We start from the raw sequence: 27,410 nt of genomic DNA, 5'->3' as shown, positions 1-27,410 counted from the left end.
TAAAATTCTGATATGGAGTTAATAAAATTTCAGAGCAATAGTTTTTGTTAAATGGAAGACTAGAGTTTTGTGAAGGTACTTTTGGGTTCCATAAAAGGTTTGGTTCCAATTTATTTGTCTTAAAATCATGTTTAACTATCAAAAAATTAAACATTCATATTTGGAGGCATTAAATACTAAAATTTAACACATCAGATTTCTAATGTATTATTTTATGCAGACAAGTTACTTTGTTTTTGTCTTGACTTGAGAAAAAAAGAATTTTCTAACAACTTTGTAACACATATATTTGAACTTACTGTAAAGTGTTTCAGTGATTAAGAATGTGGTAGCTCTGTACTGTGTGTGTGTGTGTGTGTGTGTGTGTGTGTGTGAATTCTATTAGTACGTGTCTAGTTGTTCAAATAAAAGTAGGCAATTGAGTTTATTACACCAGTTGATCCCACACATGATGTCATAATTAAATACCTGCCAAGGCACAGGCAGACCTGCGTGTCACCACATAAGTGCACAAGAAGTGAATATATAACATTTCATATTATAATAATTACAGACAGTTTAAGTTGCTAAACATTCTCTCCTCACTCAGTTTCTTTTACCTCAGAATTCCCTACTCAATGAACGTTTGAAATTATACCTATTTTCTAAAGAGAGTGTTATGGGACAAGTTCCTTGGGACCCAAACTCTGAGAGTGAGATATGCCGGGAGGAAACTTATTAGGAAGTACTCTTGGGAAAAACAGCTGTAGGGGTGTAGTGACTGAGCAGGATTGAGCAGAGGGAGAAGATGAACTGTGCTGCAGCGGCAACAAGTCTCAGCCGATACCACTGTGTACTCTGAAGCTTGGCTGGCCTTTCAGAGTTGTCTTCAATTTAGGCAAGGGGCCAAGCCTTTGTACTCACTTATTTATTAGTCATTAGAAATGGGCTCCTCCCAGGGAGGAATGTAACCTTAGCTGAGTCAACAAGTTTCCGTGTAGGACACGGCTAGGGGAGTGACAAGGCTAGGGGAGCTGTGAGGCATTAGCAGCCACCATTCTCAAGTGTTGGAAAGGAATACCCTGAGCTAAGGTGTAACTGGACAGCACACCACTGCATCCACCAAACACTCTAAAAAATAGTAAACTCTAATTTAAAAATTATATTAAATATACAAAAGGGAGGTTACCTGTGGAGAGATAAAGGGAGACTTTCACATTTTGAAATATTACTTTGTGTGTTTTTCTCTTTCATAATACTAATATGGTCATTTTCCTAAATGTGTAATGAAATATTAAAGAAATACCACAGATATTACCTTTAATATGTAAGATATATCAGAATTACATTTGTTGAGTAAAATACATGTTATAAAATTGTACTTTCTCACTGTAAAACTTCCTGAGTTTAAGTGAACAAGAATAAGAAAGTTTCTTACTTCACTGTGTTATATATTTCTAATTCTTTTTCTGGAAGGTCCTTTTTCAAGTTTCCCAAATGAAATGGATTTGGAAGAGTAGACTTCTTTTTAGTGACCTGAAAAATATAGTTAAGTAGATCAGTTTATATCTAAGAATGGAATCATATAGCAGAAACAATTTAAAAATTAAACATCCTTCTGAGGGAACTACTTACCATTTGCAATGCTTCCTTTAAATATTTTTGATGCTAACTTGTACCTCTTGGCTTATCCATGGCTGACAGGGATCCCAGGGTCATGTCCTGGGAGGGCATGATGGTGTTCCCTGAAAACCTCCTACCAGAGCCATTACCAAATTTGTATGTATGCATACTTGTCTCCCCTCCCTAGACTCTGCACTCCTCAAAGTCAGGGGCTGTGTCTTATTCATCTCTGTATCTCCTTTGTGTAGTATGGCCCTTGGCACTTAGTAGGTATTCAATCAACCTTTGTTGAATGGCTGAATCTTAAAGGTTAACTCAATTTCTCTTAGGAGCTATTCATGGCTTGGTAATTCTTTAATCTGTCCAAATCTTTTTAGACTATTTCCTACCAATTCCATCGACTGTGATAATAGGTATGGTACTGATGTAAGTACTTCCAAATACACCCCACTTAGGGGTCCAAAAGTATTCTATTGTTTGGTATGAGGAGATTGCATCTGGTTATTTATGCCATGCTACTAGCATTTCATAGTTTATTTGTGCTCCTTCTCAGACTCCTCATCTGGTGTCACCTCCATCCACCCAAATGACAAGTTTCAAAAATGTTTTGAAAGACGACAGCATCACTAGAATAAGTACAAAGCCTCCCAGGGTGAATGTTTTGATAATCATTTGGATATTTTATGGTATTTTCATGGGAAAAAATTAGGAAAAATGATCTGAAAAATGAACATCCTCTTTAGAGTCAACTTTTAAATCTTTAAGTGTTACAAAGGTTCAGATTTTAAAATCTATAAAAATAGGATAATACACACAGAGACATACACACACACACACACAGACACACAAATACACACATTTAGGGTTCTGATTCTCTTTGCTGAATATTTCATTGGCTATTTAGTCAGATCAGCCCCCAACAGGCCCCACAGCTTGGATGCTCTCTGTTGTCATTGCAAATAGGGAAGAGATGAACACGGAAATTGAGATTAAAGTTTTCCTATTTCTAAGTACTGTTAAACAGATATGAATGTCAAGGGGTTCTTATCTTATTATTTGATATTTCTTTTTTTTTTTTTTTTTTTTTTTTTGAGACAGAGTCTCACTCTGTCACCCAGGCTGGAGTGACAAATCATGCAGTGGCACAATCTCGGCTCATTGCAACCTCTGCCTCCTGAGTTTAAGCAATTCTTGTGCCTCAGCCTCCCGATGCATCTGGGATCACAGGTGTGCACCAACGTGCCTGGCAATTTTTTTGTAATTTTATTAGAGACTGGGTTTTGCCACATTGGCCAGGCTGGTCTTGAACTCCTGGCCTCTAGCAATCTGCCACACCTGGCCTGATATTTCTTTTTCTTTTTGGTTCAAAATCATTGGTTTGCCAGCAGTGACTGAAATAACCACCATGTCAAATGAAGAATGGTATGCCACTAAAAAAATGTCTTGCAATTATAAAACAAGGACTGGAGAGACAACTTAGCTCCCAGAACATACACACTTGAATAAGCACACACCTTAAGCAAGGTCCCACTTTCTTCTAAACCATCAGAGCCCTGAGATTCTCTTTGCTTCCGTACTGCATCCGGTGTAGTATGGGGGCTAAAGCCATCATCTTCTCCACCTTCACAACCATTGTCAGATCCTCCACTACTACAGGAAGGACTAGGCTTGCGTGTCTTTAAGGAATAGTCACCAAAAAGCGTTCTTCTGCATGTTGGAGAAGTTGCTACTTTGGAAGTACCTTGTAGCCTACTGAGAATAGGCGAAGTGGTCAAGCTATCTGTTTTTTCACGTGATCCAGTAAGGAACCAGTCAGCACAAGACAAACAGGGGACTGGAGAAGATGCTAGCCGTTCATCTATGCGAGAATCTACTCCATCCAGCTGGTGAAGAGTTGTTTTGACTTGATCCACATATACACAGTCTGGTCCAGGACTCCCAATAGCTTTGGATGCGCAACCTCCAGCTTCTAATAGTACACATAGCATATAATGTTTCTATAGGGAAAAAAATTACAAATGTAGGTTTAGCTACCATGAAAATATTTACATAAAATGTGCATGTATAAACTTATAAATATCGAAGACATAGAGGCCTATGGCATAATCATGTGATGATTATTAAAAATTCCTCCGTCATCTTTCCTTTTTGGTTATTATTAATGCTTCTTGATCCCAGTTGAAAACAATCTTACATTGCCTTATCTTGATATACCATCAAACCACTTCTTTTGAGACACAGAATTCCCTAAGATAGCTGTCAAGAGCCTCAGTTACTGGAAGTCCTTTCATCTACAATTGCATATTTATTCTGTTTCTGATTCTATATTATTTTCATGTCTCCCTCTATCTCCCAAAACAAGCCAATGGATAAAACCACTATAGAAAGGGGAACAAAAGACTTTAAAAACCTGCTAAAATATTTTCTTAGACTTTATTAATATTTGTCCATGAGTATTAAATGGATGCAAAAGAAAAGGAATAAGGGGACATGTAACATTTCCTTGAATACTGATATTAGACATACTAATAATTTTACATGAGCATGTTTGTGTATTTATTTAGACAGTCAATAGATACCTACCTACCGCTGCATCCCTCAACCCCTGCCGAAAAGAAAAAAATAAAAGAAAAGAAGAAAAATCCTAAGAAAGAAGCTGAGGTAAACTTACCAAGCCAACAACTAGCAAAAAATATCTTCCTTCAGGTTCCGGAAAGACTTCAGTGCTTGAGTCTGCCAAAGGTCGGAGGTGATGCTGAGGAAACACTTCTCTCCATATGATCAACTGACCAATTCTTTGTTTTGCTGCTAAAGGCAGCAGGCAATAGTGGCGACAGTATACGGCAATATCAATAAGATCATCCTTGGGCAAATGACTGCATATCAAATAACCCTTGAATTTAACCACAAAGAGCAAAAGTCTACCAGTGATATAAAGCAATAGTCCCATAATATTTCTAAGAGTTTCATAGACACTTCTTCCGTTGGTTTAGAATATTCTAGTTTCAAATGGGGTAAATGAAGATATAGTAAAAGTAAATGTTTCTTTTCTTGAGGTCAAAGTAGAGCTCAAATGATAACTTAAGGTGTACCGACAGGTAGACTTCAGCACAAAGCAAGATCCCTTCTGCACAGCATAGCTTCAGTATTTGACAAAATTAGAAAATAACTGAATTCTGAGAATGGAAAGTCAAGAAGCAGGGGTCATGACAGAGACTTTTCACTGTGCACCCTTCCCTATTGCTTCTTTGTTAGATGTGTTTTATATTGTGTTTAAAAATCCTTTTTTAAAAATAAAAGTACTTAAATTCATTTGATGCTTTGCTTTACATGGACATGAACTAAATGTTATATAAGATTTATTTAAAAGATGTAGGTTACTATTTTTTTTTTTTTGAGACAGAGTCTCTGTCACCCAGGCTGGAGTGCAGTGGCACGAACTCAGCTCACTGCAGCTTCTGCTTCCCGGGTTCACACCATTCTCCTGCCTCAGCCTCCTGAGTAGCTGGGATTACAGGCACACACCACCATACCCAGATAATTTTTTTTTGTATTTTTAGTAGAGATGGGGTTTCACCATGTTAGACAGGCTGATCTCGAACTCCTGACCTCTGGTGTTCTGCCTGCCTCGGCCCCCCAAAGTGATGGGATTACAGGTGTGAGCCACCATGCCCAGCTGACTTTTCAACACAGGATAAAAAATACACTCTTTCAAAAGGAAATCCAGAAAAATATTAGTCTTCTCTCTTACAAACTTGGTTCTTTGAGTATTGCTTCTCCTGTGCACATTTGTAAATACTTTATACATGCTTTAGAATGCAATGAAACCATAAATATTTATTATATTTACAAGTATGTAGATGCAAATCTTGTTTTAAGGTCTTAATCTGGTCAGGCATGGTGGCTCACGCCTGTAATCCCAGTACTTTGGGAGGCCAAAGCAGGAGGATTGTTTGAGCTTGGGAATTGCTTAAGCCCAGAAATTGGAGGTTGCAGTGAGCTATGATTGTACCCCGTACTCCAGCCTAGGTGGCAGAGCAAGACCCTGTCTCTAAAATGAGAAAGCTCTTAATCTTATGGTACCTACATTTGAAAGAAAAGAGATAAATGTATTTTTCATGTTTGTAAAAGTTTTGAAAATTTAGTTCTCTTTATACAGCAGCTGGACATTTAGACTTCAAGCTTCAACTTACCTTGTAAAATAGAGAAGACCCCAAAATTGTATACAGCCGCCTCATGTCATAGTAATCCTCGGACTGGGGGAAAAATTCATAGTGGATTTTATATTTTTATTTTTTTGTGATAAAAATTCCAATTAAGCTATAATAGTTAAAATGAAAATTATATTCTTTAGTAACTAAACTTTTCATAGTGCCATCTTTAGAAATCAATATACCAGAATATTAGGATGAAATACAATATGCATACGTTTACTTCACTGAGAACAACCTTATGTTTCATTCTTTTAAGATGTTTGATTAGAGACATTAAGAACATAAAATCTGTCACTCTATGAGGGATTTCTTACAACACATCTTTTTAGGACAAAAAACTTTTACTCTACATCATCTACAGTATCCAATATTACCATAAGCTATTTTTGAAAGCACTAATTGATGCAACCTATTTGCAAGCAACTGAGTGGTATGTAAAAAAAATTAAGTATATATACCCTCTGAGTAATTCTACTTCTAGAAATCTACAGGAATACTCAAGCAGTGGAATCATGATTTTTATATAAAAAGTTAACAGTTGGATTATTTGTAATATGGAAAAATTAGAGATAACATGAAATTCAACAATGGAGGAATGGCCAGCAAAACTAGATATACCACAGAATATCACACATATGTTAAAAAAATATGATTGATCTATATGAGCAGGCATAAAAGGTTTTAGGATACACTGCTCAGCAAAGAAGGCAAGCTGCAGAACAAAATATATGTTATCATCTGATTTTTGTTAAAAATAGCATCCCCACCAACTATATACATGTGTGTTGGTTTGTGTGTGGGAATGTATGTATATGGAAAAAGGTCTGGAAGGATACATTCCAATCCATAAGAGCAGTTACACCTGGGGATGGAAGTGAGAGAAAGGGATAAGCGAAGGTATTTGCTTTTAATAACCATGCTTGGAGCTTCACCCCGTACACAGCTATTACTTTTATAAGTTTTTTTTCTTTTTAAAAAACCCAATGAAACCTAAAGAAAACTAAAAACTGGAAATAACCCAGCCATTCCTCAATTGGGGAATGGATAAACAAATTGTGATACATGCATATGATGGAATACTACTATTCAGCAATATTAAGGACTGAACTGCCTGTACAATAGCAGGAATGAATCTTAAATCCATTTATGCTAAGTTAAAGCCAGACACAAAAATTACCTACTGTATGATTATTTATTTATTTAAATTCTCAAGACACATGTGGAGTGTCTGGTTTATTCAAAGGGGTTGTCAGAGGCCTGACCATGGAGCAGGAACCAAATAGTTGGGAACTGTGGGGCTGAACAGGGCAGGGATGCCCAGGTATGAGAAGGTAAAAGGAGGTATGCTGAGCAACCAGAGCAGCATTAGGGCCAGGCTGAGCAGGATGATTCACTTTATATTACATCCTGGAAAAGGCAAAATCATGGGGACAGAACACAGATCAGTGATTGCCAGAGGTTGGGGGTATGGAGAGGGGTCGACTCCAAAGGGGACAGAAGAATTTACTGAACATAAATTATACCTTAATAATATTTTTTAAAAACTAAGGAAAACACAGCATTAGGATATAAGATTAAATCTTTAATCTAATTTCACCAAAAAGTGTAGAATAGATCCTTATTTTCATATTTTTTTAAAGGCAAAATTCAATGTGAAGTGTTCTGTGAGTTTTGACAAATGCATATAGCTATGTAAGTGCCACCAAAATTGAGATGTAGAACAGTTCCCTCAACACCTCCCTACACCAACTTTTTTTCTGAGTAGTAGTCCATTCCTGGATATACCAGAATTTGTTTTGGTATTCACACCTGCTGATGGACAGTTAAGTTATTTGAGTTGTTTCCACTTTTTGGCTATTACAAATAAAGTTGCTTTGTATACAGGTCTTTGTATTACATATGCTTTCAGTTCTCTTGGTTTAAAAAGATAGGAACAGACTGGTTGAATTACATGGTAGGTATATGTTTAGGTTATTAAGAAATTGCCAAACTGTCTTCCAAAGTAGTTGTACCATTTTACATTCTCAATTTATCCATTTTTTCTTTTATGAATTATGGTTTTCTTTCTTTTTTTTTTACTGTATCTAAGGAATCAAAATAGATTATTTTTTAACCATAGAAAATATTGTTAACTCCACTGCTCATTAAAATAGTGTTCTATAAAGGCAGGAATTAGATTTTTAAATTAAACATTTTGGATGTAAGTTCCAAAAACCAGATATTTTAATACTTTAGATCTGAACTGCTCCTAATAGTTAATATCCATCTAAACATTTTCCATTACTCAAAAAATTATGAGCCATAAGAGTTTACCATCCCTAAATTTCTATTATTTTTACAGACAAAACACCCTTCCATTTGTTTAGGGTGTTTGTTAAGACTCAGTTACCCTTTCAAGCTAACATTCTCCTCCCACTTTCACTGGCGATCTTCTTGAGAATAATCCACACCTCATGGCTTTTACCTCCTTACTTCCCATTTACTTTGTAAAAGAACTTTTATTACTGAGAATTTTAGCATATACAAAAAGGGAATTGTATAATTAGTTCCTGTATAGCCATCATCACCCAGGTTTAACTATGACCAGTCCATGGCTTATCTTGTTTCATCTGTATCATCATCTTCCCTTCCTCCTGCTGAATTATTTCAAAACCAATCCCAGATATTATATAATTTCATCTGTAAACACTTCAGAATGTATGTATAAAACAGAAGGAATCTTAAAATACATATAATCATACCATTATCACAATATAAAGAATTATTTTCATCTAATACCCAGTCATTAGTGTTTACTTTCCTTGAATGTATGAGACTCATGAATAGATTCAGCCTCATCTATGAGATTCGTTGTCTCATAGAGGTTTTTAAAAGTTTGTTTGAATTAGGATCTAAGAAAGGACATACATACACTTGGTTGATAATATTCAGTCTCTTGTAACTGAGATCTCTCTCAACTTCTCTCCCTTCTCCCCCACCTCACGCCAGCCTTTTCTAATTTATTTGGAGAAGAAAGTGTCCTGCAGTATTTGCCAGTCTGGATTTTGCTGACTGCAACCCCTCTTCCAAAAATGGAGTAACTTAACATGCCTCCTTTTCAGTGGTATTTCCTATAAGTTGGTAGTTCAATCTTGAGGCTTCATCAAGCATATTTTATAGGTGTTCTGTGTGCTTCCATCAGGAACAACATATTATCTGCTGTTTTTCTGTTTGTGATATTAATAGCTATTGATGACCATTGCCTAGATCCATTAATTCATTGAGGGACTGCAAAATGGTGATATTCCAATTCTGTCAGTCTTTCTTGACATTTCAGTTAGACTACTTTCATAAAAAGAAGCTCTCCTTCACCTCTGTTTGGTAACCTTGACATATGGTTTAGACAAGAAAGGCAGGATAAATGTCTGATTTTTCTTCATTTAACAGTTTTCACAAAAACAAGTTAGTGCCCTCATATTCTCCAAAGTTGACTAGTAAGTTTCCTTTTTTTTTTTTTTAGTATCATTATGCACTCATGAGCTTATACATATCTGATGTGTTTCAATCTGTTGTAGTTATTTCCTTATAGATGTTCAACAGGGAGCCTCTTCAAGTTGTCTCATGACAGTTTGAGCTCTACTATAACCCTATTAATTTTTGGAAAGCTTTCTGAATTTCTGATATGACAAGATGTTCTCAGACTTATCTTGTGCATTTTCAGCCCCAATTTTGAATGAGCCAATTCTTGAGGAGTCCTGGTTCCTTTTGGTGAGAAATGTTATTTATACACCATGGTCTGGGTATTAGTGGTACTTATCGCTACTGCGATGGTCACTATTGCTAGGCCTTTTCATTGGCCATAGCTAGGAAATACAATAATTAAAAGATTAAAAACGATATTGACACTTCCAATTTAAGTACAGCTCTACAGGGTTCTTATTTAACTTAATCAGTATTACATCTATATTTATTTTCCTCAAAAGCTTAGTTCTCAGTGACACCAGTGTAATTAATCATTTTTAATCCCATAATATACATTATGTAACAACTGTTTAAACTCAGTAGAAAATCCTAAGGCAAGCAAAATAGATTTTGTCACTGTCAAAACAGAGGCCTAATGTGTATTTCAAGATTATTATATATCCACTTGGTAAATATTTAGAATAATGACTGTTATACAAAATAATTCAACATTGAGCCTTTTATAAAATCCACTCCTTCCCTTACCAGTTCTGCAAAATCTGCAGCCTCCAAGTCACTTAATGCCATGTCTAATTCCATCTATGTTAAAAAAAAAAAAAGAGTAACATAAACATTTGACTCATATTAGTTACTTTTTTAGTAATGGCCATATAAAAAGTGCTTAATTACTACTTGAAAAATTGAGTATCTTTCTCTTTTGTGTTACTTAGGAAATGTCTCAAAATGGAACATATTGTTTTTAAGCTTTGCCACTGTAAAACAGTTTACTTATTTAACATATTGTTTTTAAGCTTTGCAAATATAAAACAACTTACTCATTTAACATACCATATTTCAACTAAATCTCAATAACTGCAAAATGGTCTTCACATGTATTCAATGCATAGTAAATTTATGAGCTTCAAAAGTTGCTTTCCAGTTTTAAGTTAGAAATTAATTTAACCCTTTTGATTTCATAGAAGAAAATGAAAATCAGTCTTAAAGTAGCCAACTTATTTTGAGTTGTTCTCGATTCTCCATTTCTTGTATATTACTCAATAGTTGGATTCTTGAAAAATATCAACATTCTTCCCTGTCTTTCTCCTGGACACAACGTTTTGCATTCAAGGGTTGTCAATCTTTATTCCTAGATTAAAACACGAAGGCAAGTGTTCCTCTGGAATCTGGCACAGTTCAACTACCCCACAGAGTTATTAGAAAAAAAAATCTCTTACTTAGGATTTGGGTTTTGTTTCTATGGAAATTGCCTGAACTCTTTCATGTATCACCTTTGTTCTTCTTTGAAGCATTCCAAATTTAAAAACAGAATAAATTTAATCTGAAGTTTAATCTGTAATACAAATATATATACAAATGAAAACTATCGGCAATTGAATTGTGTGGCATACATGCTATTTGTGAATAAGAATCCCTTTTTTTTGAGATGGAATCTCGCTTTGTCGCCCAGGCTGGAGTGCAGTGGCGCAATCTCAGCTCACTGCAATCCGCCTCCCAGAGAATCTTTTTTTTTTCTTTAAAGGCCAAGGCACTCTCTGCAGGACTGTTTCACACACTAACTGTGTCTTACTGAGATGACAAAAGCTTTTGAAATATTAGTCATGCCTTTCAATGCTTTTCACACAGTATGAGTTATTACTCATTTGTGACCTACATTTTTCTGCATCTAGCAAATACTTCAGGTTCCCTTTTTTTGTGGCTATTAGTCTGTCTTGTGAAAAACCACAGGACAAAAAATTACCAATTTGTGGTATTTGATCTCAGAAACTGTTCAATGAGTTGCTATTCCTGCTACTAAACTCTACAGGCTAATTAGTATACAAGATTAATATATATGTTTGTTTATATTCCTTAAACGAAAACATACAAATATCTTTTCTCTTAATTATTTCACTGTACCCTAGGAAAATATGATTGAAAAAAGAATATCAAAATGAGGAAAATTCTCAAATATCTGGGAAGAAAAACTAAAGTAAGACCTCATTATATACTAAACCTGGAACAAATAGGTTTTTTCCAAGTTAAAAATAACTATTTAGTTTGTTTTTAAAAATAAACAAGCAAAAATAACTATTTCCACCTAAAATTGCCAGGCATGTTACCTCACACACGACTTTTTTTTTTTTTTTGAGACAGAGTGTCCCTCTGTTGCTCAGGCTGGAGTGCCAGTGGCACAATCTTGGCTCATGGCAAGCTCTGCCTCCTAGGTTCATGCCATTCTCCTGCCTCTGCCTCCCGAGTAGCTGGGACTACAGGCGCCCGCCACCACGCCTGCCTAATTTTTTGTATTTTTAGTAGAGATGGGGTTTCACCGTGTTAGCCAGGATGGTCTCGAACTCCTGACCTTGTGATCCTCCCACCTCGGCCTCCCAAAGTGCTGGGATTACAGGTGTGTACTCCCAAAGTGCTGGGATTACAGGTGTGAGCCACTGCGGCCGGCCTCACACACGTTTTTAACTAGATTTCTTTTGTGGACATAGTTTCACTCTGGTTGCCTAGGCTGGAGTGAAATGGCATGAACTCAGCTCACCGCAACCTCCGCCTCCCAGGTTCAAGTGATTCTCCTGCCTCAGCTTCCCAAATAGCTGGGATTACAGGCATGCACCATCACACCCAGCTTATTTTGTATTTTTAGTAGAGACGGGGTTTCTCCATGTTGGTCAGGCTGGTCTTGAACTCCCGACCTCAGATGATCTGTCCACCTCAGCCTACCAAAGTGCTTGGATTACAGGCATAAGCCACCATGCCTGGCCTTTAACTAGATTTCTTAAGGCATTAAATTCCTTAATATTTTCCATTAGAAGATACATACTCAATAAATCCTACTTTTTAATACAATGAGAAATCTCAAGAGAAATGGAATCAACCTAAGTGTTCATCAACAGATGAATGGATAAAGAAAATGTGCCATATATACATAATGGAATACTATTTAGCCATAAAAAGAACAAAATCCTGTTATTTATGACAACACAGATGAACCTAGAGGGCATTATGTTAAATGAAATAAGCCAGGCACAGAAAGACAACTACCACATGATCTCACTCATATGTGGAACCTAAAAAAGCTGATATCACAGAAGGAGAGAGTAGAATGGGAATGGTGATTACCAAAGGCTTGGGTAGTTAGGGGAGAGGGTAAATGAGGAAATGTTGGTCAAAGGATATACAATCACAGATAAGAGGAGTCAAATTTAAAAAAATATTTAGAACAGGTAAGCTTACAGAAATGAAAACTATGCAAATGATTGCCTGGGGATGGAGGGGTAGGGAGAAGAAGAAATTGGGAGAGGAAAGAGAGAAGTAAATAATAACTACGAATGGTCACGGAATTTCTTTATTAGATGGTGAAATGTTCTAAAATTGATTGCGGCGATGGTTAGGCAGCTCTGTGAACAGACTAAAAAATGTTGGATTGCACATTTTAAATGGGAAAATTCTATGATATGTGAAATATCTCAATGAAGCCATTAAGGAAAAGACCTTGATTAAGTTCACGTAACTACTGTTCAAGCTGAAATTTTAAAATACACTGAGTAGAGAATCTTGACTATTAAACTGCTGTGCTATACTGCCTTAAACGAAGTAATTGGCAATTTAAACGGATAGGGCTTTATTGGTCTAAAACAGTGAGGTTTAATAATTTATTCTCATGTCTCAGAATGTTTCAGTATAAAGTGAAGGTCTTAAAATATTTTGAACTAAAAAAATGAAATCACAACTTATCAAAACTTATATGGTGCAGCAAAAGTGGTGCTTGGGGGAAATTTATAGCATTAAATGCATATATTAAAAAAGAAGAAATATCTAAAATCAATAATCCAAGTTTCTATTTTAAGAAACTAGAACAAAAAGCAAATTAAATCTAAAATAAGCAGAAGAAAAGAAATAATAAAAATTAGAGGAGAAATCAACGACACTGAAAATAGGAAAGCCGTAGAGAAAAATCGATGAAACCAAAAGCTGTTTCCTTGAAAAAAATCAATAAAACGTATAAGCTTCTAGCCTAACTAAGATAAAAATAGAGAGGACACAAATTACTAATACCAGAAATGAAAGGGGGGGGGCATTAGTACAGGGTCCATGGACATTAAAAGGATAGGAGAAGAATACTGTAAACAACCCCATGCTCACAAATTTGATAACCTAGATGGAATGGACAAATTCCTTGAAAGATACAAGAAGAAACAGATACTATAAATTGGTCTATACTTATTAAAGAAATTGAATCAATAATTAATCAACTTGCAAAAGCAGAATGCACCAGGCCCAGATGGGTAGACTGGTGAATTCTACCAAACATTTAAGTAAGAAATTATACCAATTCTCTCTAATTTCTTTCAGAAGACAGAAACAGAGGGAATACTTCCTAACTCATTCTATGAGGTCAGCATTACCCTAATACTAAAACCAGACAAAGACATTATAAGAAAAAAACAAAAAAAATGACAGGCCAGTATCTTTCAAGAACATACATTCAAAAACCTCCAATAAAATATTAGCAGAGGGAATCCAACAATGTCTAAAAAGAAATATACACCACAGCCAAGGGAGATTTATCCCAGGTATGCAAGGCAGGTTTGACATTCAAAAACCAGTTAATGTAATCCATCAGATCAATGGGCTTTAAAAAAATCACATGATTCTATCAATATATGCAGAAAAAGCATTTGATAAAATCCAATACCCCTTCATGATAAAAACTCTTAGTATACTAGGAATAGAGGGAAACTTCTTTATCTTGATAAAGAATATCTACAAAAAACCTACAGCTAACTTCATACTTAATGGTGAGAAATGAGATATTTCCTAAGATCAGAAAGGGGCAAGGATGTCCCCTACCACCACTCCTTTTCAACATCACAGTGGGAGGCCTAGCTAATGCAATAAGGCAAGAACATGAAATACGTGATTGGGAAGGAAGAAATAAACTGTCTTTGTTCATAGATGACATGATTGTTTACACAGAAAATCTGAAAGAATTGACACAATCTTATATATTACAATTTTCTATATTAACCCTGTATGCTGCATCAGTATATAAGGAGCCTCCGCCTCCCAGATTCAAGTGATTCTCCCACCTCAGCCTCCTGAGTAGCTGACACTATAGACATGTGCCACCACACCCGGCTTAATTTTGCATTTTTTGGTACAGGTAGGGTTTCACAATGTTGGCCAGGCTGGTTTTGAACTCCTGACCTCAAGTGATCCACCCATCTCAGCCTCCCAAAGCGCTGGGATTACAGGCATAAGCCACTGCACCCAAGCATAGAAGTCAATTGCTTTCCTATATACCAGCGATGAATAAGTGGAATTTGAAATTAAAAACACAATACCATGTACCTTAGCACTCCCCAAAATAAAATATACTTAGTTATAAATTTAACAAAGTATATACAATATCTGTATGAGGAAAACTACCATACTCTGATAAATGAAATCAAAGGAGAACTAAACAAATGGAGAGATATTCCATGTTCATGGATAGGAAGACTCAATATTGTCAAGATGTCAGTTCTTCATAACTTGATCTATATATTCAATGCAATCCCAATCAAAATTCCAACAAGGTATTCTAAAGTTTATATGGAGAAGCAAAAGACCAAGAACAGCCAGTACAATGTTGAATGAGGAGAACAAAGTCTGGGGACTGATACTATCCTACTTTAAGACTTAATATAAACCTACAGTAATCAAGACATTGTATTATTGGTGAAAGAACAGACAAATATGTCAATGGAACAGAGAGTCCACAAATATACTCACATAAATACTGTCAACTGATCTTTGACAAAGGAACAAATACAATGTAAAGAGCAAAGATGGTCTTTTCAACAAATGGTGCTAGAACAACTGGGCACCCATATAAAAAATATCAATCTAGACACACACCATACACCCTTCACAAAAATTAACTCTAAGTGGATCATATATCTAAATGTAAAATGCTAAACTATAAAATTCCTAGAACATGGGAGAAAATTTAGATGACACTGGGTATGACACTAACTTTTTAGAGACAACACCAAAACCACAATCCATGAAACTGATAAGCTAGACTTCATTAAACTAATCCGGTTCTTTGAAAAGATATATAAAATTGATAGACCATTAGAAAGATTAACCAAGAAAAGAGAGAAGATCCAAATAAGTTCAATTAGAAATGAAATGGGAGATATTACAACTGATAACACAGCAATACAAAAGATTACTGAAGGCTACTATAGACACCTTTATGTGCATAAACTAGAAAACCTAAAAGAGATGGATAAATTCCTGGAAATATACAACCATCCTAGATGAAACAAGGAAGATATAGGATCTCTGAACAGACAAATAACAAGTAGCGAGATTGAAATGGTTATGGAAAAACTGCCAACAAAAAAAGTCCAGGACCAGACAGACTCACAGATAAATTCTATCAGACATTCAAAAAAGAATTGGTACCAAACCTATTGACACTATTCTGAAAGACAGAAAAAGAGGGATCCTTCCTAAACCATTGTATGAAGCCAGTATCACCCTAACACCCAAACCAGGGAGGGACATAACAGAAAGAGAAAACTACAGACTGATATCCCTGATGAACATAGGGGCAAAAATCCTCAACAAAATACTAGTGAACCAAATCCAATAGCATATCAAAAAGATAATCCACCATGATCAAGTGGGTTTCATACCAGGAATGCAGGGATGGTTTAACATACATAAGTCAATAAATGATACACTACATAAACAGAACTTAAAACAAAAATCACATGATCATCTCAATAGACACAGAAAAAGCATTTGACAAAATCCGGCATCCTTATATGATTAAAACCCTCAGCAAAATCAGCATACAAGGGACATACCTTAAGGTTATAAAAGCCACCTATGACAAACCTACAGCCAATATTATACTGAATGGGGAAAAGTTGAAAGCATTCCTCCTGAGAACTGGAACAAGACAAGGATGCCCACTTTCACCACTTCTATTCAACACAGTACTCAAAGTCCTAGCCAGAGAAATCAGACAAGATAAAAAAATAAAGGGCATCCAAATAAGTAAAGAAGAAGTCAAACTGTCACTGTTTGCTAATGATATGACTATATACCTAGAAAACCCTAAAGACTCATCCAAAAAGCATCTAGATCTGCTAAATGAATTCAGCAAAGTTTCAGGATACAAAATTAATGTACACAAATCAGTAGCTCTGCTGTACACCAAAAGTTACCAACTGAGAATCAAATCAAGAACTCAACCCCTTTCACAATAGCTGCAAAAAAATACTTAGGAATATACTGAAGCAAGGAGGTGAAAGACCTCTACAAAGAAAACTACAAAACACTGATGAAAGAAATCATAGACAATACCAACAAATGGAAACACATCCCATGCCCATGGATGGGTAGAATCAATATTGTGAAAATGGCCATACTGCCAAAAGCAATCTACAAATTCAGTGCAATTCCCATCAAAATACCACCATCATTCTTCACATAACTAGAAAAACCAATCCTAAAATTAATATTTGGAACCAAAAAAGAGCCCTCATAGCCAAAGCATTGCTAAGCAAAAAAAATCTGGAGGCATCTCATTACCCACCTTCAAACTCTAATATAAAGCCACAGTCACCAAAATGGCATGGTATAAAAATTAGGCACATAGAACAATGGAACAAAATAGAGAACCCAGAAATAAAGCCAAATACTTAGAGCCAACTAATCTTTGACAAAGTAAACAAAAACATAAAGTGGGGAAAGGACATCCTATTCAACAAATGGTGCTGGGGTGGTTGGCAAGCCACAGGTGGAAGAATGAAACTGGATCCTGATCTCTCAGCCTTATACAAAAATCAACTCAAGATGGATCAAAGACTTAAATCTAAGATGTGAAACCAAAAAGATTCTAGAAGATAACATTGGAAAAACCCTTCTAGACATTGGCTTAGGCAAAGACTTCATGACCAAGAACCCAAAAGCAAATGCAACAAAAACAAAGATAAATAGATGGGACTTAATTAAACTAAAGTTTCTGCATAGCAAAATAAATAATCATCAGAGTTAACACCCCACAGAGTGGGAGAAAATCTTCACAATCTATACATCTGACAAAGGACTAATATCCAGAATCTACAAGGAACTCAAACAAATCAGCAAGAAAAAAACAAACAATCCCATCAAAAAGTGGGCTAAGGAGATGAACGGACAATTCTGAAAAGAAGATATACAACTGGCTAACCAGCATATGCAAAAATGATCAACATCACTAATGATCAGAGAAATGCAAATCAAAACCACAATGCAATACCACCTCACTCCTGCAACAATGGCCATAATAAAAAAAAATAGATGTTGGTGTGGATGGGGCAAAAAGGGAACACTTTTATACTGTTGGTGGGAATGTAAACTAGTACAACCACTATGGAAAACATTGTGGAGATTCCTTAACTAAAAGTAGATCTACTGATTGATACAGCAATCCCACTAGTAGGTATCTACTCAGAGGAAAAGAAGTCATTATACAAATAAGATATTTGCACACATGTTTATGGCAGCACAATTCGCAATTACAAAAATATGGAACCAGATGCCCATTAATCAACGAGTGGATAAAGAAAATGTGACATATATATATATATATATACATACCATGGAACACTATACTCCGCCATAAAAAGGAACAAAATAATGGCATTTGCAGCAACCTGGATGGAATTGGAGACTATTATTCTAAGTGAAGTAACTCAGAAATGGAAAACCAAACATCATATGTTCTCACTCATAGGTGGGAGCTAAGCTATGAGGATGCAAAGGCATAAGAATGATACATTGGACTTTGGGAACTTGGGGGAAAGAGCAGGGGGTGGCAAGAGATAAAAGACTACACATTAGGTACAGTGTATACTCCTTGGGTGATGGGTGGACCAAAATTGCAGAAATTGCCACTAATGGACTTATTCATGTAACCAAACACCACCTGTTCCCCAAAAACCTACCGAATTAAAAAAAAATGGGCCAAAGGCCTTAACAAACACTTCACCAAACAAGATATTCAGAAGGCAAATAAGCACATGAAAAGATATTCCACATCATATGGTCATCAGGGAAATGCAAATTAAAATAACAATGAGACAGAACTAGACACACAGTAGAATGACCCAAATCCAAAATACTGACAAAACTAAGTCCTGACAAGGATATGGAACAACAGGAACTCTCATTCATTGCTGGTAGGAATACAAAATACAGCCACTTTGGAAGACAGTTTGGTAGTTTCTTACAAAACTAAACATTCTCTTGCTATTTGACCAAGAATTAATTGCCCAAACATGGGAGCAACAGAGATTTTCAGCGAATGGATAAATAAACTATGGTATACCTGAACAATGAAATACTATTCAGCATTAAAAAGAAATGAGCTATCAAGCTGTAAAAAGACAAAGAGGAACTTAAAATGTATATTACTAAGTGAAAGAAGCCAATCTGAAAAGACTACATACCATATGATTACAACTATATAACATTTTGGAAAATGCAAAATGATGGAGGCAGTGAAAAGATCATTTGTTTCCAGGGGTTAATGGAAAGGGAGGGATGAAAGAGAGGGATAGGCAGAACACAGAGGATTTCTGGGGCTGTGAAACTACTCTGTATGATACTAAAAGGATGGATCCATGTCATTATAATCTGTCTAAATCTATAGAATGTACACCACCAAGAATGAACCCTAATGTAAATGATGGACTTTGGGTTATTATGATGTGTCAATGTAGGTTCATCAATTATAACAACTGTACCCCTGTGGTGGGGAATGTTGATAATGGAGAGGCTATGCATGTATGATGTATGGGGGAAGGGGGTACGTGGGAAATCTGTACCTTTCTCTCAATTTTACTGTGAACCTAAAACTGCAGTAAAAAATAGAATAAAAAAAACTTCAAATGTTATTGTTGTTCAAATTTTATATTAATCAAATAGAGCTTTAGACTACTTTAGCAAAAGGTATCTAGCTCTCTTCCCAAAAGTATTGTTCTTAATCTCCTAACTGGACTACAAAATGTAGAAAACATCTAAGCCAGATCCTCACTGTTTCCTGTGTATTAATTTCACCTGCTCAACCTGACTGTGAACATCTAGAGGTTTTTCTGGATTCTGCAAAGCATGGCACAGACTTGAGCAACCGGCACAATGAACACTGATCTCCACACAGCAGTGTTAGACGTAACAAGGATAAAAGCAGCCAAAGCACTGGCAAGATAAGCAACAGCTATGGTTTAAGGCAATGAATTAAAAATGTATACCAGAATTCACACAGTGATTTCTTAATTTGATATTCTTTTAGGGTGAAATAAAGAAAAGCATATAAATCTTTTAAAGAAATATATGCTAAATTAACAAAAATCTCAATGAAAAAGAGGTAGCCTTCACATGGAATCTGTAAGCCCCAAATAGACAATACTTTAGAACATCTTAAACTTCTTCGAGGGAAGATAATATTTAATGTATCTAAATTCTAAACACACTGCCCCTAAAACATTAAGTACCTCTACTATCACAGAAAGAAGGGACTATATATTTTGAGGGAAGAGGTTTCTTTAATGAAGAAATTCTGACAGAGGGGCAAGAACCTAAGTAATGGCCAGGTAGAATGGCAAGCCTCACGAGATGGTACCTTCTGACTCATGAAGTGGGCATGGGCCCTGTGACTGAGGATAAAAGACCCCAGAATGGGCATGAGACAGTCTTTGGAACCAGGGTCTTTCTCTTTTAAAGGTAAAGTTATCTAGTTACTTTCTATGTTTCTATCTATATCGAACACTTATATCCTTCCCTTCCCTTCCCTTGCCTCTTCCCTCCCCCTTTCCTTTCCCCTTTCTTTCTCCTTTCCTTTTTCCTTTTCTCTTCCCTTTTCCCTCTTCTTTTTCCTTTTCCTTTCCTTTCCTGAGATAGGGTCTCATTCTGTTGCCCCACCGTAGTGCAGTGGTGCAATCATAGCTCACTGCAACTATGATTGAGTGGGGAGCCCAACTCCTGGGTTCAAGTAATCCTCCCACCTCAGCCTACTGAGTAGCTGGAATACAGGTGTGTGCCACCATGCTCTGCTAATGTTTAAAGTTTTTGTGGAGATAGGGTCTCCATATGTTGTCCAGGCTGGTCTTGAACTCTTGGCCTCAAGTGATCCTCCCACCTCAGTCTCCCAAAGCACGAGGATTACAGGCATGAGCCACCATGCCCAGCCAATGCTTATATATTCTTATGAAAATATTAGGTAGAATTATATATCTCATACTTCTTAGTTTTTTATACAATTTAAGAAAATGGTAGGCCAGGTGCCATGGCTCATGCCTGTAATCCAGCACTCTAGGAGACTGAGGCGGGCAGATTGCTTGAGCTCAGGAGTTCGAGACCAGCCTGGGAAACATGGAGAAACCTGGTCTCTACTTAAAAATACAAAAATTAGCCAGGCATGGTGGTGTGCATGTGTAGTCCCAGCTACCTGAGAGGCTGAGGTGAGAAGATCACCCGAGCCTGGGATGTGGAGGCTGCAGTGAGCTATGATCATGCCACTGCACTCCCACTCCAGCTGGGGTGACAAAGCAAGACCCTGTCTCAAAAAAAAAAAAAAAAAAAAAAAGAAAGAAAGAAAAGAAAAAGAAAGAAAGAAAGGAAAGGGTAATTATTGTCCTGAAATATCAAAAGACCAGGCAGTTGATAGAGCTAAGGACAAAAAAAATACCAGAAGGCAAAGCATCTTTTGAACATGCTCTAACACCTCATCTCCTTTCAAATAGTAATTGTATAATAATGCTCCCATAACTACAACTACAATGTGCCGGGCACAATTCTAAATACTTCACGTGTAATAACTCATAAATCTTCCATGAAGTAGGGACTATTATTTCCTCCATTTTACAGATGAGGAAACTGAGCAAAGTGATTGATACATCAATTTAAATAACTATTAAGCTGTCAAAAAGGCATTTATTTGATCATACATTGTAGAGTCTTATGAAGAGTAGGAACTTGAATTAGGTTTCTACTGTAACATAGCCTAGGTTTCTTCAAGAGCAGAGAAGTGGCTATGGCATAATGCCTCATTTAATACTAATACAAATGCTGTAACTAAATAGATTATATGGTGATCTACACTGATGAAAATGTCTGAAATAATCTTGTCAATCATTCAATAATAAAGTTATTCTAGGTTCACAGATATAACTAAAATCATATTGATAATTCTTAACCGTCATACAGTTTTACTATTGGTATGCGATCCATGGGACAAGCCAAAAGCTAATCACATATGTTCATGTAAAAAAAGATTTTGGTAGACTAGTGGACTTTGTATTTTAACTGAGAATACTGTTAGTCAACCATGTCATCCACTTTTTTTTTTTTTGTACAGAAACATAATTCTAACTTGATAACCTTACATTATAAAATCAAAGTCACAAAATTCCAAAGTAAGACACACCATTTAATTACGATTTCTGAAAAGTAGTCCTAGCTTGGATAAAGCTTAAATTTAAAAGTAAGAGGAGAGAGCTAATTTCTACTTATAAAGGATAATTTCTCTTTCTGGGTTTATTGCACTGGACCTCCTACTTTGTCAACCAATTGCCTCTTTAATTTTTAACCATAATTCCAAAAATAACAAAAAGTCTACGAAAAAAAGAGAAGATACAAGATTATAATAAGGCACCTGGTTCTGCTTCTGCTTTATAATACCTAAGATTACCTTGATTTCCAGTGGAAGTGTGAGCCACCGGACTCCAGGGAGGTTGTCTAAAAGTACTGCACTGGAAGCATCGTACTGCTGAGCACTGGGACTGGCGCTGGAATGCAGTTTCGCAGGCTGAAGTGCTCTTTGAAAGAACAAGTTAAAAAAATGATCCAAACGAGGAACATTCTCAATCTGGCAAAAGGCACTGGAGAAATAAGAGCTGTAAGTTAGAACGACATATGGAAATGGTGGTCATTTTTTGTGTGCTCCTAAGGGAACTGGATCTTTCCCAACTACATAGGCTATCTTCCTCACTCCTCTCTTCCTTCAATAGAATTGCTGCTAGAATGTTACTGACGGATTGTGTAAAGAAATTTACCCTGTCCAAACTTTTTACCCTAAAACCTACTCTCAAGTGTATCAAGTAGATGGCTCTATGGAAGAACCACAGGGCTAACACAAGTGACATATTTATAAAAGAAAGGGCTGAAGTACCCTTTTTGTAAAAAATGTAGGTTGTTTTTACCTCTGACTGTCTTTTAACCATTTACAACTCCTGAAATCTTTCAGGCAACGTGGAATGATAAAGAGATTTTGAACTTTGTAATAGAACAGATCTGGCTTATCACAGCTCTTTCTAGGTAGCTATCACAGGCAAATCACCTAACCTTTCTCTAACTTTGGTTTCCAACTCTGTAAAAACAGGGTTAATACAATCTAGCTCACATGCAGAATGCCTAGAACATAACAAGCATAAGTTCTTATTATGCTTATTATTTACTGGTAAACAGTAAGTACATAATAAGCATAAGTTATTTCCTCCCCTCTTTACTACTGAAGGTATAACATTAAAGAACTCAAAAAACAAAATGACAGAAAAAACCGAAATACTTGGTTTTAGCCATATAAAAGTAACACAGCATTGACTGCAAGCATTTATTGGAACAGCTCACTGAATGACAAAATAGCAGGTACATATGCTATCGGCATATCAAAATAATTATTTGCTGATTCATCTAACAAATATTTGAGTGACTACTACATTCCAGGCACTATTCTCATTGCTGGAGGTATGGCAGTAAAAATATCAAGACAAAAGACAATGAGCTCCCATGAAGCTTATGTTCTAATGGAGAAAGACAGCAAATGAACAAAAAGTAAAAAACACAAATTCATATAAAGGACTATGCAGAAAATAGCACAATATGAATGGGTGGTGTGACAGATTGGCTATTTTAGGTTGAATGGTTGGAGAAGAATCTCTGAGAAAGGGCATTTGAGCTGATATTCCAATGTCAGAAAGATCCAGCAAGAAGAAAAAGTACAAAAGCCCTGGGCTGGGGAAAAGCTTTGCCAGGGTGTTTGCAATACAGTGCAAAGGAGGCACGTGTGGTTTGATATCTGAAGTCAGAGGGGTAGGTAGGAACCAGATAATAATGTAGAAAGATCACGCTGCTATATGAAAATTAGTTCAAGTGGCAAGAATGAAGGGAAGGAGACCAGTTAGGAGGCTACTGTAGTGTGTGAGAGATAGCAGTGGCTGGACAGGGCAATAATAAAGATAAAGAGAAATGGACAGATTGGAGATTTTGAAGACAGACTGATCAGGACTTGCTGATGAATTAGTGGGGAATGGTGAAGGAAATTGTTATAGCTTTAATTTGGTCACAACGTTAAACTGTTAGTATATAGTCAGTTTTCTGTGGCTCATAGAGAATTAACCAGCTCACAACTTTAAAAAGATAATCAAGTCTCTACACTTTTTGGTCTTCTTGTAATTTTTCACAATTGGCCCTTAATATCTTTCATAATCAGAAAAAAAGTTGTTATAAAAATTTATTACAAAATGTCTATTAATAACATCCTGGATTCACTGTGCTTCTTGGTTTTAAGAACTCAATGGATCTTCACATTTATTATCGTAGTTTGCTCTTTAAATTCTCACTTGAAGTAGAAAAGAGTTAAATTTGCTGCCATCAAAAAGATACTTCCACTATCAATGGAAGATAAATTTCAAGATGAAAGAGAAATTAAGTCCCTCTGTCCCCAGTCTACTCTAATGGAATTTGTAGGACAACTCCAATGGACTATTTATATGTATGAAAATCATTGCAAAAATTTAATCTTTGATAATCTCTGGTTTTATGAAAACAGAAAGCTTCAATTAGGGCAAAATATGGCAAAGTTTTCTTCTGTTGAGTAAACTTAAAGAGGCAGTTCATAACCACATTCTTACTCTTCATTGGTTAAAACTTTCCTTACTAGTAAAAGGTAAAAGCACTATTTATGGATGCCCAGCTCTTTGTAGCTCACTTATCTGGAAAATGTTGGTAAGCAATCAGGTTTGACAGGGATGTGCCTCCTCAGCAGTTCCTCTAGAGAACACTGCAAACTAGATAATTTTCCCAGATGACACAATCACAGAAAATTCCTTCATGATACTGTAAGAACAATGAGAACAAAGATCCACTATAGATAAACAGAGAGCTGATATCACTATGGTTTGGAAAAATGTATAAACTGCCTTTGGATTTTTGTACTGATATACTCCTAAGGCTTTAAACATAAAGATACCATTTTAGCCCTCAGAAATACAAGAACAAAAGTCACTAAGAGAAAAATCGATTTCCCATACCCAATTTTATGTTAAATGTTACCTCAAATTTCTGCCTTCCAATCAAGAAGGTTAAAAACGCAAGAAGCAGAAAAATATGCATAACAGCATACTTTTATTAAAAAGGGAGTATGTATATTTTTATTGTATAGAAAATATATGGAAGGACACGAACAAAACCAGTCAATACCGTCTCTACTGTATGTCTTTTTAAATAATAGTGCATAAATTTTTTACTAAAGAAATTTTTTTGAGAAAGAAGCATATTTCAGGATAGTGAATTTGATGGTCTTATAAGCAAAGAAAAACACAAAAATGTATTTTAAGTCTTTCTCTTTTCTGTATCTGTTATGAAGAAATACTCTTACATTTGCCCCTACAGAAATATATCAAATCAGAACACAGTTGTGGTTATATCACTAATTCACTAAGAAATTTCACTAAAGTCATATATGAGACCAAAAAGGAAAAAAAAAAGGAAATGAATCAAATGAAAAACTGTCTACTGTTATAACAAAAAAGCCAGTAATAAAAGATGAGAAAATAAGAAGAGGAAGGAGAAAAAGAAGGAGGTGGAGGAATAAGGATAGAGAAAGGGGGAAGGAAGAGGAGGAGAAGGAAGAAGGAGGAGGAGGAAGAGGAAGGAAGAGGAGGAGGAAAGAGGGGAGGGAGGAGAAAAGAGACAAATAACTAACCTGTCAAGCAAGAAATGGTCTTAAATGCAGAAGATGACTTAGAATCACATAATTAAAACTTGAGATTCAATTTGAAGAAGTACTTACCTATCTAAAGAACCATACATAAATTTTAAGGTTTGGATGACATTTTCTATCATGTTCCTTAGACGAGGAAGAGGAACTCTAAAAAAGCAAAATTACACGTATTAATTTACAACATAATCAAATGACATTTATCTAAAAGAAGTAGATCATCCTTGAATTTTACACATACGGAATGTGAAAAGTATGTGTGTCAACTCTGAGTAAAGCTGTACAAAATGGTCGCTTTCAATGACCATTGATCACTTTATTCTAGATTTAGTTCCAGCATGAATCTAACAGGGATTTTATAACACCATTTATTTGTAAATCATGTAACTGTCTCTAAAGTTCAGTTTCTTCATCTGTAAAATGAGGCCAGTAGTCACCAAGCCCTTCTCAGATTGATTCTGAGAATTAAATGAAATTAATGCAAATAAACTAGTTTTTACAAGACCTGGGCCCATAAAAAGAAATTCTAAATTCTTGACACTTTTTAGTATTACCCACATATCAACTGGGCCTCCAAGTCCTGTGACAAAAACACACTCTTAATTGAAATGGAGGATGGGAAGAAAGTAGGAGAAAGGAAATAAAGAAATGGACTTACATTTTCTCATTGAAGCCTTTTAAGAATTTTATAAGGTAGCTCTTATTATTCCCATTATACAAATAAGTAAACAGAAGTCCAAGAAATTACGTAATTTCTGCAAGGGTAGAAAGGGAGTAGAGCCTGCCGGTGAGCACTTATCTTCTTAGACCCAAAGTTATTCTCCCACTACCCCACACTGTCCTCCTGGTTAGGTTTCCGCTATTCACTGCAGCCATCACGGGAATGTGATCTTCCCATCTGAAAACACATGTCCCTCGATCATGTGCCCCACCCTAAATTCTGTGGGACAGCACTTTTCTCACCCTGCTTATAAAAGGCATAGAGGTGAGGAGGGAAACACGCAGTCTATGGCACTGAGATGGACGAGGAGAAAATCCCAGGGCTGTGAGTTCAATTACAAAGCACATGCAAAATGTTGGTGATACGAAGACGTGTAAGTTGACACTGAAGAGGTGCTTATGCATGATCTCTCCATACTCTATTTCCAAGTTTGAATAAATGAGAATACTACTACCTATCTTTTAGTTATGTGAAATGAGATAGAAGAGGGAAAATAATCTGGAACAAAGGGTTGGTGTGAGCATTTAAGAGAAGGGTAAAGAGATGGCTCAAGCTTACTTTTCACTGGAAGCTCAGGAAAGAGAATAAAGGGGATCTTCAAATTAATTCTAACTTATCAAGCCAAGTTCTTTAGGAGAGGAATGACATAAATATTTAGGGAAGATGGCCTCCCTTCCCCCACCCTGTTTAATAAAGATTGAGAAATTAGCTAGAGCATCCCTCATGTGGCACAACCTTGGTCCAGAGCTCAGCAGTGACAGTCCTTTGTTGGCTTCAGGATACAAACTCACCTGGAAACTGTCTCTGCCTAGCTGATTCGGCTGGTGTCATCAGAGTGTGGTTGAACAGCCTTTGCTCAGTTCCTTATCCAGGTCTGCCTTTCCTCTCTCTAACTGCCTATGCTACCTTTATCTCACCACTGTATTCTCTTTCTTCTCTTTTGCCTTTTGGGCTGCTACAAAAGTCTTAAAGAGACATGTTTTACTCTGCTGCTACATCCTAAATCATCTCATTCTGGATGTTCTCCAATCCTTGTAAACCCATAATTTATTTCTTTTCTTTTATTTATTTTTATTTTTTATTTTATTATTATTATACTTTTAAGTTTTAGGGTACATGTGCACAATGTGCAGGTTAGTTACATATGTATACATGTGCCATG

At 36.1% G+C, this 27,410-nt stretch overlaps 1 protein-coding gene across 1 annotated transcript in view, besides 3 other annotated features; it reads right to left on the bottom strand.

The window, feature by feature from the left end:
* INTU (inturned planar cell polarity protein) overlaps positions 1 to 27,410 on the bottom strand; it is a 93,781-nt gene that overhangs the window by 16,652 nt on the left and 49,719 nt on the right. Inside the window, exons 7-13 of the mRNA NM_015693.4 lie at positions 25,600 to 25,677; positions 22,219 to 22,408; positions 10,023 to 10,076; positions 5,796 to 5,858; positions 4,274 to 4,495; positions 3,117 to 3,599; positions 1,418 to 1,515 (exon numbers count right to left, since the gene is read on the bottom strand). Coding sequence (NP_056508.2) covers positions 1,418 to 1,515; positions 3,117 to 3,599; positions 4,274 to 4,495; positions 5,796 to 5,858; positions 10,023 to 10,076; positions 22,219 to 22,408; positions 25,600 to 25,677 — 1,188 coding nt within the window. The remainder of the gene's footprint in view (positions 1 to 1,417; positions 1,516 to 3,116; positions 3,600 to 4,273; positions 4,496 to 5,795; positions 5,859 to 10,022; positions 10,077 to 22,218; positions 22,409 to 25,599; positions 25,678 to 27,410) is intronic.
* Positions 580 to 1,779: an enhancer, noted in NCBI's record as "P300/CBP strongly-dependent group 1 enhancer chr4:128629462-128630661 (GRCh37/hg19 assembly coordinates)". NCBI's record gives its function as "activates an origin of replication core promoter dependent on BRD2, BRD4, P300/CBP, MED14 and CDK7 cofactors, with strong dependence on P300/CBP, by STARR-seq in HCT116 cells {active_cell/tissue: HCT116}" and the evidence as "EXISTENCE:reporter gene assay evidence [ECO:0000049][PMID:35650434]".
* Positions 838 to 1,132: a silencer, noted in NCBI's record as "tiled region #1790; K562 Repressive non-DNase unmatched - State 23:Low". NCBI's record gives its function as "represses a minimal TATA promoter and a strong SV40 promoter by Sharpr-MPRA in K562 cells {active_cell/tissue: K562}" and the evidence as "EXISTENCE:reporter gene assay evidence [ECO:0000049][PMID:27701403]".
* Positions 22,200 to 23,399: an enhancer, noted in NCBI's record as "CDK7 strongly-dependent group 2 enhancer chr4:128607842-128609041 (GRCh37/hg19 assembly coordinates)". NCBI's record gives its function as "activates an origin of replication core promoter dependent on BRD2, BRD4, P300/CBP, MED14 and CDK7 cofactors, with strong dependence on CDK7, by STARR-seq in HCT116 cells {active_cell/tissue: HCT116}" and the evidence as "EXISTENCE:reporter gene assay evidence [ECO:0000049][PMID:35650434]".

This window comes from Homo sapiens, chromosome 4 (genome assembly GCF_000001405.40).
Source record: "Homo sapiens chromosome 4, GRCh38.p14 Primary Assembly".
Classification (NCBI taxonomy): Eukaryota; Metazoa; Chordata; class Mammalia; order Primates; family Hominidae; genus Homo; species Homo sapiens.
This window is presented reverse-complemented; position numbering and strand designations above follow the sequence as displayed.